Genomic DNA, 12,657 nt, shown 5'->3' with positions numbered 1-12,657 from the left:
AGGCATGAACCACCACACCCGGCCCTTTAAAAAAAAAAAAAAAAAAAAAAAGAACAGTTGAGCCTCACGCAGATTAAAAACAAGGGAGAATGACTGCTGCAGGGCCAGGGTTAAGGAAAATGACAAGGACAATTAAGGATGAGGCTGAGTGGCAAACTCACAAAAACCCATGTTCCCACAGCAGTTGAACATAAAAGCAATCAGAGGGCATTCTGACCATTTACAATCATTCCCGCCCCAGATCCGTATCAATCAGAATGAAAGCACGTGATCTCCAAGAGGGCTTCACGCTCATCATTTACTTACACTGGCTACATCTTGTAATTCAGTTATAAAGTGACGCTCACTATTAAAATCAGATGGAACCAGTTTATCTTTTTAGAACGCCTCACCAGGCAGTCACACCTCTTCAAAGTCCACCTGGCCATCCACATCAGGGAAAAGGGGAGTAAGAGAAATTCGCTCTGAAAAATGGGACCCCTTGGAGAACTGTTAGTCCTCTGAGGGTACAGAAGCCTGTCAGCAAGCTACCTTCTTCACCCGTTTCCCCTTCCCTAGGAACCGCCCTGACAGCTTCTCTCTCTCTGCCCAGCTGTCTATCTCCTTCCTTTGCTGACAGTGACTATCAGCTGCTTCCAGGCTCACCCTCTCCTCACCATCTGCTGGGGGTCAGAGCTTCAGCAGCTGAAGTCCTTCACACTCTCCATAATTAGCAATCGCTTGCCTACACACAGACTTCTCTTCGAGTCACTGGACAGCCATGGACTACATGTGTGGGACAGAAGTAACCTCATAAACTTTGTTTTGTTTTGAGATAGAGTCTGGCTCTGTTGCCCAGGTGGGAGTACAGTGGCATAATCTTAGCTCACTGCAACCTCCACCTCCCAGGCTCAAATGATCCTCCTGCCTCAGCCTCCCGAATAGCTGGGACCCCAGGCACTAGCCACCACACCTGGCTAATTTTCGTATTTTTTGTACAAATGGGGTTTTACCATGTTGCTCAGGCTAGCCTCAAACTCCTGGCCTCAAATGATCCACCTGCCTTGGCCTCCCAAAGTGCTGGGATTACAGGTGTGAGCCACCATGCCCAGCCAAAAGTTAACATTTTAAAAAATAGCTGAATGAGGCAAAAATTGAAAAAGAATTTACCAGGACTATTTATTTCATTGTCTTCCAGGCTGCACTGTTACTGTTGGGTAGTTTGTCATCAGTCTAATCAGCATTCCTTTGAGGGGGGTAATCCGTCTTTTATGTCTTGGTTACTTTTGAGACCCGGTCTCACTCTGTCGCCCAGGCTGGAGTGCAGTGGTGCAATCTCAGGTCACTGCTGCACCACAACCTCCACCTCCTGGGTTCAGGTGATTCTCCTGCCTCAGCCTCCCAAGTAGCTGGGAGCTGGGACTACAGGCGTGTACCAATACACTCGACTAATTTTTGTATTTTTAGTAGAAATGTTTTTTTTTTTTTTTTTTTTGACGGAGTCCTACTCTGTTGCGCCAGGCTGGAGTGCAGTGGCGCGATCTTGACTTACTGCAACCTCTGCCTCCCAAGTTCAAGCGATTCCCCTGCCTCAGCCTCCCGAGTAGCTGGGACTACAGGTCCCAGGGACAACACGTGCCACCATGCCCGGTTGAGATGGAGTTTCACTATGTTGGCCAGGCTGGTCTCAAACTCCTGACCTCAGGTGATCCGCCTGCCTCAGCCTCCCGAAGTGTTGGGATTACAGGCGTGAGCCACCATGCCCAGCCAGTCTGGTTTTTTTTTTATTTTTTGAGATGGAATCTCACTCTGTTGCCAGGCTGGAGTGCAATGGCGCGATCTTGGCTCACTGCAATCTCCGCCTCCTGGCTTCAAGCGATTCTCCTGCCTCAGCCTCCTGAGTAGCTGGGACTACAGGTGCATGCCACCACGCCCAACTAATTTTTGTATTTTTAGTAGAGATGGGGTTTCACCATGTTGACCAGGATGGTCTCCATCTCCTGACCTCATGATCCGCCCTCCTCGGCCTCCCAAAGTGCTGGGATGACCGGTGTGAGCCATCATGTCTGCCCTCTCCAACTCTTTCCGCCTCCTCTGGAACAGCTATTAAACATACACTGGACCTTCTCATCTGATCCCACACTGATGTCCAATGCCTGCCACCTTGATCTTTCTAAGTAGCATTTCAGATGACTTCCTTCCATCTACCTCTGTTTGCTAATCATGTCCTTCATTATTTAAAACAGCCATTGCATTCTTCATTTCAATGACTACAGTTTTCACTTTTAGAAATTCTATTTTGTTTCTGTCAAAGGTGCCTGTTTGTGTTTTTATTAACAGTTTCTTGGCTGGGCGTGGTGGCTCACGCCTGTAATCCCAGCACTTTGGGAGGCCGAGGAGGGCGGATCATGAGGTCAGGAGTTCGAGACCAGTCTGGCCAACATGGTGAAACCCTGTCTCTACCAAAAATACAAAAATTAGCCGAGCATGGTAGCAGAAGCCTATAATCCCAGCTACTCGGGAGGCTGAGGCAGGAGAATCACTTGAAACTGGAATGCGGAGGTTGCGGTGAGCCGATATAGCGCCACTGCACTCCAGCCTGGGCAACAAGACCGAAACTCTGTTTTTTTAAAAAGAGCTGGGCGTGGTGGTGTGCACCTGTAGTTCCAGCTACTCGGGAGGCTGAGGCAGGAGAATCTCTTGAACCTGGGAGGCAGAGGTTGCACTGAGCCGAGATTGCATAAATGCACTCCAGCCTAGCAACAGAGGGAGACTCCGTCTCAAAAAAAAAAAAAAAAAAAAGACTTTATGCAAAGCTTTCACAGCCAACTTCCCTTTCCTTAGGAGGGCCCAGCAGCTTTGTCTTCTGTCCCATCTGGGTACTAAAACCCAAGCCTGTTCCTGGCTCTGATAATCCTTCCACTCCACCCTCCTCTTTGTGTAATACTGCCAAGGGGCTACACCAAGAGATATGGAAAATAAAACTGACCAGATAGGTCTCCGGCTATTTTTATCTCTAATTACTGTGGCAACTCTGGGGAAACCCCAATTGCCTGGAGAGGTCTACTGTGTTCACCATAAACCATGAAGAATTTAGCTAACAGTTTAATTTTTTACTTTTCCTAGAAAATGTGATTTTTAACCGGCTCGAAACTCTGTTTCCATGATGGAGTTTCACGTTTCAGACACAGCAAGCATGGAGGGAGATTTCTGAGGGCCATGGACTCTTGTCATGAAATCACACCACACACATAAATAGTGGTCTACACCACCAACACGTAAGCAAAGTCCTGGTTTGAAACTATTAGGATTTGGAATAATATGCCATATTTTTGCAAACATATAATTAAACATTAACTCTGTTTCAAAGATTTAGTTCTAATCCTTCTGGTAAATGAAGGTACTTAAGAGTAGAACCCATAAAATAACAAAATAACATAGGGCCAGCTTGGGCAACATAGTGAGACCCTGTCTGTACAAAAAAATAAAGTTAGCCAGACATGGTGGTCCCAGCTACTTGGGAGGCTGAGGTGGGAGGATCATTTGAGCCCCAGAGATTGAGGCTGCAGTGAGCTATGATCACGCCACTGCCCTCCAGCCTGGATGACGGATGGAATCCCTGTCTCAGAAAAACACACAAAAACACCCCCACAGGGGATGACCATTTATGGCCTGAGATTATTCTATAAACCATAATATATGGAGATTTGAGCTCAGGAGTAGTCACCTAATACAGCTTTGACTTGTGAAAAATGCCCCACCTCTTTCCATAGCTTCAGAAAGGAGGTTGCCAATTATTTCCCATTTGCCCTTCTCAGATCCATTCTCTGACCCGCCCTGTGCCCCAGGAAGCTGACCCTAAGGGCTGCACTGTCTTGTCTTTCCTGCCCTCTGGCTGCCAACTGAGTTTGTCATTGGGGAACAAAAGCAGGAGATTTAAGGGCAGGAGGAGGGTGCAGTTGGGGTATTTATTCCGTTTTCTCCTCATCCCACAGCAGGGCCTACAGCCACAACTTCTATCAAGTGACCCCCTCCTCCATGACTATAGCTCTTACCTGATTCTGGTAAGAGGGTCCCCCTCTGTCCCTTTAGGCTCACAGGGAGTAACAGCTTTTCACTGTTGTCTGGTGCAACACTATTCCTTATTGGTTCATTTGAAGTCTCTACACCTCTGTTAACAGTTTCTTTTTTAAACTCATTTCAATTGACCCTTTAAAAAAAATTATTTGTAATACTCAGACTTCAAAGAGAAACTGATCCTTTAAGAGTGATCCATTCCCATGCTAGGGCCCAGGTTAAGACAGCCTTACTTGGGGGAGGAAAGGGGACTATTTCCACCCAGTCAGCCCAACTAATCAAGTCAATCTATGAAATCACCTCACAACCAAGAATTACTAATTATTCTGCTTCTCCAACCACAGGGGCCTGGGGCACTGAATAGGAGTCTAATGGGTGGTCCTCACCTCGGACCTTTCTTGGATCTTGAGCGAACTCCTGCTCCTCACCAGACTCTTGGATGTACAGGGGCCCCCAAGACTCGTATTTGTGACTGGTCTCCAAGGGCTGTGGCTGCATGCTGCTCGGGGATTCCTTTGCAGTTCCTGAGGAGGATATCTTCTCCCACACCGGTTTCTGTTCGTTTGGAGGAGTTGAGACCTAGAGACAATCAGGAATGGCTAGGTTTGTGCATGGCTCACTTTAAGACCAAGAATGAAAATCCCAGTAGAGCTACATAGAACCTCTAGGAAAGAGAAAAGGAAAACACCCATCCCATTCCATTCCCAAGGCTAAAAGTTAGTTTAGGATGATAGAGAAAAATAGGAGGAAACAAGGTCTAATTCAGCAGAAATTTCCATTCAGCAAATCTTAATGTATGGACAAACCCTTGTTCCTGCCTAGAATGTTACGCTCCCAATCTCCTAGAATAACAAAGGTCTCTCCTGCCTACCTGGTGTCCTGGCTCATCCAGTTCCCGCTCCAGATCTTCGAGGAGAGTGACAGCCTCTTCAGCGCTCTCCGGGCAATGCTCCTGCACCCAGGCCTGGAGCTCCTGGGGCAGGATGGTCAGGAACTGCTCCAGCACCAGTAGCTCCAGGATCTGCTCCTTGGTGTGGATCTCGGGCCTCAGCCACTCACAGCAGAGCACCCGGAGTTGGCTCAGGGCCTCTCGGGGTCCAGGGGTATCATGGTACCCAAACTGCCTGAAGCGCTGGCGGAACATCTCCAGGCTAGGAAGGTACTTGCCTTTCTCTTCTTTCTCCTCGACTTTTACCATCAGAGGCCCCACCTGCTCCTGTGGAGGCCTAGGGCCCAGAACTGGGGCCATGCCTAGTACCTTGGTCATCATGTAAACTCCAGAAACAGCCTCACCAAAGATGGGACTCTGTGGGGCAGGAATATTCGTTCCTTTGGGTTTCCAGTTCTTTAGGGCCACAAGTTAAACCTAAGAAAATATAGTTACCAAAAAATAATCAAACTGAAAAGTGTTTTTGGGTCTTTACAGCCATACCTTTAACACAAGAAATTGTGGAAATTATGTCCACCATAAAACTACCATACAAAAACAACTGCTCAAAATCTTTCTGGAATGAGCTGGGTACAGTGGCTCATGCCTATAATTCCAGCACTTTGGGAGGCTGAGACGGGTGGATCACATGAGGTCAGGAGTTTGAGACCAGCCTGGCCAACATGGTGAAACCCTGTCTCTACTAAAAATACAAAATTAGCCAGGCGTGGTGATGGATGCCTGTAATCCCAGCTACCTGGGAGGCTGAGGCAGGAGAATTGCTTGAACCCAGGAGGCAGAGGATACAATGAGCCAAGCCTGCGCCACTGCATTCCAGCCTGCGCAACAGAGCGAGATTCCATCTCTAAAAAAAAAAAAATCTTTCTGCAATCAGCTCAGGATATCCTACTTTGATTTCAGTGGTCTCCACTTTCCTAAAAAGTGCAATGTGGCATAATTTTAAAGTTAACTTTGCTCCAAAACTAGTTCAGAATCTCACCACTATAGATATTATAGTTTCTGAGATTTTATCAAGCTATCTACTGGCTAGATGCCATCTGTTTAAACCTAAGACATTTAGCTTGAGCAATGAAAATTCACTAGTCAAGGCCAGGCATGGTGGCTCACGCCTGTAATCCCAGCACTTTGGGAGGTGCTGAGGTGGGCGGATCACGAGGTCAGGAGATCGAGACCATCCTGGCTAACACGGTGAAACCTCATCTCTACTAAAAATACAAAAAATTAGCCAGGCGTGGTGGCGGGTGCCTGTAGTCCCAGCTACTTGGGAGGCTGAGCAGGAGAATGGTGTGAACCCGGGAGACGGAGCTTGCAGTGAGCTGAGATTGTGCCACTGCACTCCAGCCTGGGCGACAGAGCGAGACTCCGTCTAAAAAAAAAAAAGAGGAGGGCCGGGCGCGGTGGCTCACGCCTGTAATCCCAGCACTTTGGGAGGCCAAGGCGGGCGGATCACGAGGTCAGGAGATCGAGACCATCCTGGCTAACATGGTGAAACCCTGTTTCTACTAAAAATACAAAAAAAAGTTAGCCGGGCGTGGTTGCAGGCGCCTGTAGTCCAGCTATTCGGGAGGCTGAGGCAGGAGAATGGCCTGAACCAGGGACGTGGAGCTTGCAGTGAACAGAGATCGCGCCACTGCACTCCAGCCTGGGTGACAGAGCGAGACTCTGTCTCAAAAAAAAAAAAAAAAGGAAAATTCACTAGTCAAATGACTGGGCCTGTCAGTATGACCTGAGTCATGCTCGAAGGGTGTAATTAACTAGTACATTAAAAATAACTGAGGTCGGGCGCAGTGGCTCATGCCTGTAATCCCAGCACTCTGGGAGTCCGAGGCAGGCCTGGACTTGAGACCAGCCTGGCCAACATGGTGAAATCCTGTCTCTACTAAAAATACAAAAATTAGCTGGGCATGGTGGTGTGCACCTGTAATCTCAGCTATTTGGGAGGCTGAGGCACACAAGAATCCCCTGAACATGGGAGGCAGAGGTTGCAATGAGCCGAGATCGCGCCACTGCACTCCAGCCTGGGTGACAGAGCAAAACTCTGTCTCAAAAAATAAAAACAAAACAAACTGAAGTGCCAGGTGCAGTGGCTCACATCTGTAATCCCAGCACTTTGAGAGGCCAAGGCGGGCGGATCACTTGAGGTCAGGAGTTCGAGACCAGCCTGGCCAACATGGTGAAACCCTGTCTCTACTAAAAATACAAAAATTAGGCGGGTGTGGTGTTGCACACCTGTAATCCCAGCTAGTCAGGAGGCTGAGGCAGGAGAATCGCTTTAACCTGGGAGGGGAAGGATGCAGTGAGCCAAGATTGCACCACTGCACTCCAGCCTGGGTGACAGATCAAGACTCAGTCTCAAAAAAAAAAAAAAAAGAGAGATCATAAGTAGTTTTCTGACAAACAAAATGGACTTTAGTGCTAACATTCTGTAAACACGGTTCATAGTTATGAAATTAAGGCTTTGATTAGTCTTTTTTTTTTTTTTTTTTTTTGAGACAGCGTCTCACTCTGCTGCCCCGGCTAGAGTACAGTGGCGTGATCTCGGCTCACTGCAACCTCCGCCTCCCGGGTTCAAGCGATTCTCCTGCCTCAGCCTCCTGAGTAGCTGGGACTACAGGCACGCACCACCACGCTCCACCAAAAGAAATGTTGGTGGAGTGTTTAGCAGTGGAATTAAGACATCAGGAAGCAAACCAAAGCATGAAAAGGGAAACTGTAAGGCACGGAAAAAAATGCATACAGAATTATTTCCCAAAATTTGTTCAAAAGCACTATAACTAAGGCGGGGTGCGGTGACTCACGCCTGTAATCCCAGCACTTTGGGAGACCGAGGCAGGTGGATCACCTGAGGTCAGGAGTTCGAGACCAACCTGACCAACATGGCAAAACCCCGTCTCTACTAAAAATACAAAAATTAGCCGGGCGTGGTGACAGGCACCTGTGATCCCAACTACATGGGAGGCTGAGACATGAGAATAGCTTGAACGTGGGAGGCAGAGGTTGCAGTGAGCCGAGATTGTGCCACTGCACTCCAGCCTGGGCAACAGAGTGAGACTCCGTTGCAAAAAAAAAACAAAAAACAAAAAACAAAACACACTATAACCAATAATTTGAATAAAGGATTCTTTGGCCAAATAAGTCTGTATGTACTCAGTACATACCACAGGAGTGCCCAAGTTGAGGACTACTTAAAAATTGAGTCAGGGGAGATGCAACGTCATCTCACCTACTAAAACAAAGGCCTGAGCACCAAAGACTAAAATAAACAAGAAATAATGAGGTAGCTGTGCTGGAGAGCATTCTTTAGAATATTTAAAACGACTGGCCGGGCGTGGTGGCTAACGGCCGTAATCCCAGCACTTCTGGAGGCCAAGGCAGGCGGATCACTTGAGGCCAGGAGTTGAGACCAGCCTGGCCAACATGGTGAACTGGGGCCATACCTAGTATCTTGGTCATCATATAAACTCCAGAAATAGCCTCACTAAAGATGGGACTCTGTGGGGCAGGAATACTGGTTCCTTTCGGTTTCTGGTTCTTTAGGGCCACATGTTAAACCTAAAAAAATATAGTTGCCATAAAATTACAAGTTACAGTCTCCACTAAAAATACAAAAATTAGCTGGGAGTGGTGGCAGGCACCTGTAATCCCAGCTACTTGGGAGGCTGAGGCAGGGAATCACTTGAACCTGGGAGGTGGAGGTTGTAGTGAGCCAAGATCCTGTCACTACACTCCAGCCTGGGTAACAGAGTAAGACTCTGTTGCAAAAAAAAAAAAAAAAAAAAAATTATGTATGTATGTATGTATGTATGTAAGAGCCCTCCTCAGTGGCAGATTAACTTTACGTAACTGTTACAAAATTTAATACTCTATCCAGAGGAGGGCACCCTAAGACCAGGAAAGAAACCATTGTTTGGGCTGCTCAGCTTCTGTGATCTGGCCTGGGAAACAAGGCAATTCACCAGGGAGTCATGCAGCACCTGCTGGCATCACACAGGGAGCGTCATGTAGTAACATAACATTCATGTGCGATACACTCTGAGAACTTGGTGAATCCAAATTCACAGATGCCACTGGATCACATGATTGCCTCTGCAAATTACAGAAAAAAAAGTTTCCTTGGATGTTGCTGCTGGGCAGTTGGCTGGGTAAGCTCATTAGCTAAGTGATTTATTCTAGGCACATCAGTTCTTTTTTTTTTTTTTTTTGAGATGGAGTCTCACTCCGTTGCCCAGGCTGGAGTGCAGTGCCATGATCTTGGCTCACTGCAACCTTCGCCTCCCGAGTTCAAGTTATTCTCATGCCTCAGCCTCCTGAGTAGGTGGGATTACAGGTGCGTGCCATGCCCGGCTAATTTTTATATTTTTAGTAGAGATGGGGTTTCACCATGTTGGCCAGGCTGGTCTTGAACTCCTGACCTCAAGTGATCTGCCCACCTCGGCCTCGCAGAGTGCTGGGATTACAGGCGTGAGCCACCACGCCCGGTGGTACATCAGTTTTGCGGTGCACACAACTCAAATGTACAATGCATAAAGACTACAAACGAGTAGAGGGCCGGGTGCCCTTCCTCCTTCCTGCACTCACTCTCCTTGGTGATTTCACAAGTTGCATGGTTTTAATTACCATCTATATACTCACAACTGCCCAAACTGTATCTCCAACTTAGACCTCCCTGCTGACCTCCAGACTCATACGACCAACTACCCACTTGCCATTACCACCTGGATGTCCAGTAAGACATCTCAACCTTAACATGTCCAAAATGGAATTCCCATCTCTCCCTCAAAAGCTGCTCATCTCAGCTAATGGCAACTCTCATTGTTCTTTTTACTTGGACCGAAAAACCTGGGGTCATCCCGAATCCTCTTTCACTTTTTTTTTTTAATTTAATTTTTTTATTTTTTAGAGACAGTGTCTTAGCCTGTTGCCTAGACTGGAGTGCAGTGGCACAATCACAGCTCACGGAAGTCTTGAACTCCTAGTCTCAAGCCATCTTCTTGCCTTGGTCTCTCAAAGTTCTGGGGTTACAGGCGTGAACCACTTCACTGGGTCTTTATTTTATTGTTTTTCAATTACAGAGGCAGGGTCTCGCTTTGTTGCCCAGGCTGGCGTGTAGTGGTGCCATGACAGCTCACTGCAGCGTTGAACTCCTGGCCTCAAGCGATCCTCTCACCTCAGCCTCCAAAGTAGCCAGGACTACAGGTGTGCATCACCACATCTAGCTAATTAAAAAAAATTTATTTATTGATTTACTTATTTTTGTAGAAACGAAGTCTTGCTTTGTTGCCCAGGCTGAGGCATAACTTGAGCTCAGGAGTTCCGGGCTGCAGAGTTGTGGCTGTACCACTGTGCTCCAGCCTGGGTGACAAAGGAAAACCCTGTCTCTTAAAAAAATAAAGAAGCATGCGGCTAGAAATCAAATGCTTCATTACTAACTCACATTGTCTACAATCACAGTGACTTTTTAAAAGCTATCTAGACTGTTTATCTCAAGAAGTCCATCAAGCAAAAGTTCATGGTCTATCATAAACAGAAGGCCCTTGTTCTGTGTCCATTTTCCCTCCTCCTTTATGCCAATCTCCCACAGCTTATATGCCCTTATGAAAGCGCCCCAAGTCCATTCTGTAACAAGATGAGGCATAAAAAAATCAAATTACCATAGATTCTAAAAGTAGAACAGCACTTACCCACTTGTGCTAAAATGCTTCACACTCAGTCCGTACCTGAAAATCCCTAGGGGGCCCGGCGCCGTGGCTCACACCTGTAATTCCAGCACTTTGGGAGGCCCGAGGCGGGCAGATCACGAGGTCAGGAGATCGAGACCATTCTGGCTAACACGGTGAAACCCCGTCTCTACTAAAAAATACAAAAAATTAGCCAGGCGTTGTGGCGGGCGCCTGTAGTCCCAGCTACTTGGGAGGCTGAGGCAGGAGAATGGCTAGAACCCGGGAGGCGGAGCTTGCAGTGAGCCGAGATCGCGCCACTGCATTCCAACCTAGGCGACAGAGCGAGACTCCATCTCAAAAAAAAAAAAAAAAAAAAAAAAAAAAAGAAAATCCCTAGATCCCTAGGCAGCCAAATTAGATAATTCTTGAGCCACAGAATTCCACTAATTGTTACAAGTTCTTCCTTTTTTTTTTTTTTTTTTTTTTTTTGAGACGTAGTTTCACTCTTGTTTCCCAGGCTGGAGTGCAATGGCGCGATCTCGGCTCACCGCAACCTCTGCCTCCCAGGTTCAAGCGATTCTCCTGCCTCAGCCTCCTTACAGGCATGTGCCACCACGCCCGCCTAATTTTGTATTTGTAGTAGAGACGGGGTTTCTCCATGTTGGTCAGGCTGGTCTCGAACTCCCGACCTCAGGTGATGCACTCGCCTCGGCCTCCCAAAGTGCTGGATTACAGGCATGAGCCACCGCGCCCGGCCACACAAATTCTTTAACCTGAATCAAATTCCGCATCATTTCAAAAATCCTAGGTTAGTCCAAGACCAATACTCACTTTCTCCATAGCAGCCTTCCAACACTTGAAAACAATTATCTTGCCTCTTAATTCTTTTCCTCTCCACAGCTCAACTGTTCCTTAGATTTCGTGGGTTTCCAAGTACCTCACCCATCAAATCAACGTTCTTTTTTTTTGTGAGACCAAGTGTTGCTCTGTCGCCCAGGCTGGAGTGCAGTGGCGTGATCTCGGTTCAGTGCAACCTCCACCTGGTGGGTTCAAGCGATTCTCCTGCCTCAGCCTCCTGAGTAGCTGGGATTACAGGCGCGCTCCACCACACCCAGCTAATTTTTGTATTTTTCGTGGGGACAGGGTTTGGCCAGGCTGGTCTCGAACTCCTGACCTCAAGTGATCCGCCGGCCTCGGCCTCCCGAACTGCTGGGATTACAGGCGTGAGCCACCGCGCCTGGCCCAAATCAACTTTGTCCTGACACTCTTTTATTTATACATGGTTCTTTAAGACTGTTTTTCTAAACCATGAGCAGATCCCTATTCTGTGTGTGTGTTCTAGCCCGAACAAAGCCCGAGGGGACTATTTCTTCCCTTGGATTTGATTCTACCCAACACTTCTAATGAGGTTCGGCTTCCCACAGGTTTCCAACACCTTGGGCGTATTGCCATCAATGAGCCTTGCGTTCGGACCTCCAGTTCAGAGAAAGGGAAAAAAGGCGGCCACGGTCAGACTGATAGACGGCTTGGCTTGGGGAACGCACAAAAAAAACTATTCTGGAACGCGAAAGAACTTCCAAAACATCTGTTCTTCCAGCTTTCATTTGTTAAAGCCCCAAGTGGAAGAAAAGGCTTTCCAGGCAGCCAGCGCCCCCACCAGCTGGTCCTGGGCGGGGACGAGGAGCTCCTCCCCACAGCCCTGCTAGGACCGGTCTAGGTGGGGTCCTCGGAAGCCACAGCTGCTAAACCCACTCCTCCCTCCCCAGACCATTCAGCCACGGCTCCCTCTCCTGTCCGCCTCGCTAACCCGCGACCAGCAGGCTCACCATGAATCAGAGCCGCTCCGGGTACCGGGAGACCGCACCGCGTACCTCGGGACCGCGCACCCGGAAGTGCGTCATAGCCCCGCCCCCGCGGAAAAGTAGTGCGGGGCCGTAGCGGCCCCTCTAGAAATTCGGGAGGTCCTCTCTGTGTCTCTGGCCCTTGGGACAT

The 12,657-nt window shown here is 48.0% G+C and overlaps 1 protein-coding gene across 8 annotated transcripts in view, besides 2 other annotated features; it reads right to left on the bottom strand.

Annotated features, from left to right (window-relative positions):
- Positions 1-12,559, bottom strand: part of ZSCAN21 (zinc finger and SCAN domain containing 21) — a 15,267-nt gene extending 2,708 nt beyond the window's left edge. For 2 of the 8 annotated variants that reach the window (XM_005250568.5, XM_047420807.1), the window contains exons 1-4: positions 11,497-12,559; positions 10,687-10,855; positions 4,928-5,422; positions 4,443-4,635 (exon numbers count right to left, since the gene is read on the bottom strand). In XM_005250568.5, coding sequence (XP_005250625.1) covers positions 4,443-4,635; positions 4,928-5,326 — 592 coding nt within the window. In that variant the 5' untranslated portion in view covers positions 5,327-5,422; positions 10,687-10,855; positions 11,497-12,559. The remainder of the gene's footprint in view (positions 1-4,442; positions 4,636-4,927; positions 5,423-10,686; positions 10,856-11,496) is intronic. The other 6 variants (NM_145914.3, NM_001362781.2, XM_047420806.1 and 3 more) reach the window with 5 other exon arrangements.
- Positions 2,854-2,973: an enhancer, noted in NCBI's record as "active region_26333". NCBI's record gives its function as "activates an Ori minimal core promoter by ATAC-STARR-seq in GM12878 lymphoblastoid cells {active_cell/tissue: GM12878}" and the evidence as "EXISTENCE:reporter gene assay evidence [ECO:0000049][PMID:35858748]".
- Positions 12,038-12,657: an enhancer, noted in NCBI's record as "H3K27ac-H3K4me1 hESC enhancer chr7:99647299-99647918 (GRCh37/hg19 assembly coordinates)". NCBI's record gives its function as "activates a minimal SCP1, AML or CMV promoter by ChIP-STARR-seq in primed H9 embryonic stem cells {active_cell/tissue: H9 hESC(primed)}" and the evidence as "EXISTENCE:reporter gene assay evidence [ECO:0000049][PMID:30033119]".

Source organism: Homo sapiens, chromosome 7, assembly GCF_000001405.40.
Source record: "Homo sapiens chromosome 7, GRCh38.p14 Primary Assembly".
In the NCBI taxonomy this organism is placed as follows: domain Eukaryota; kingdom Metazoa; phylum Chordata; class Mammalia; order Primates; family Hominidae; genus Homo; species Homo sapiens.
The sequence above is the reverse complement of the archived record's forward strand: the minus strand, read 5'-3'. Positions and strand labels throughout refer to the sequence as shown.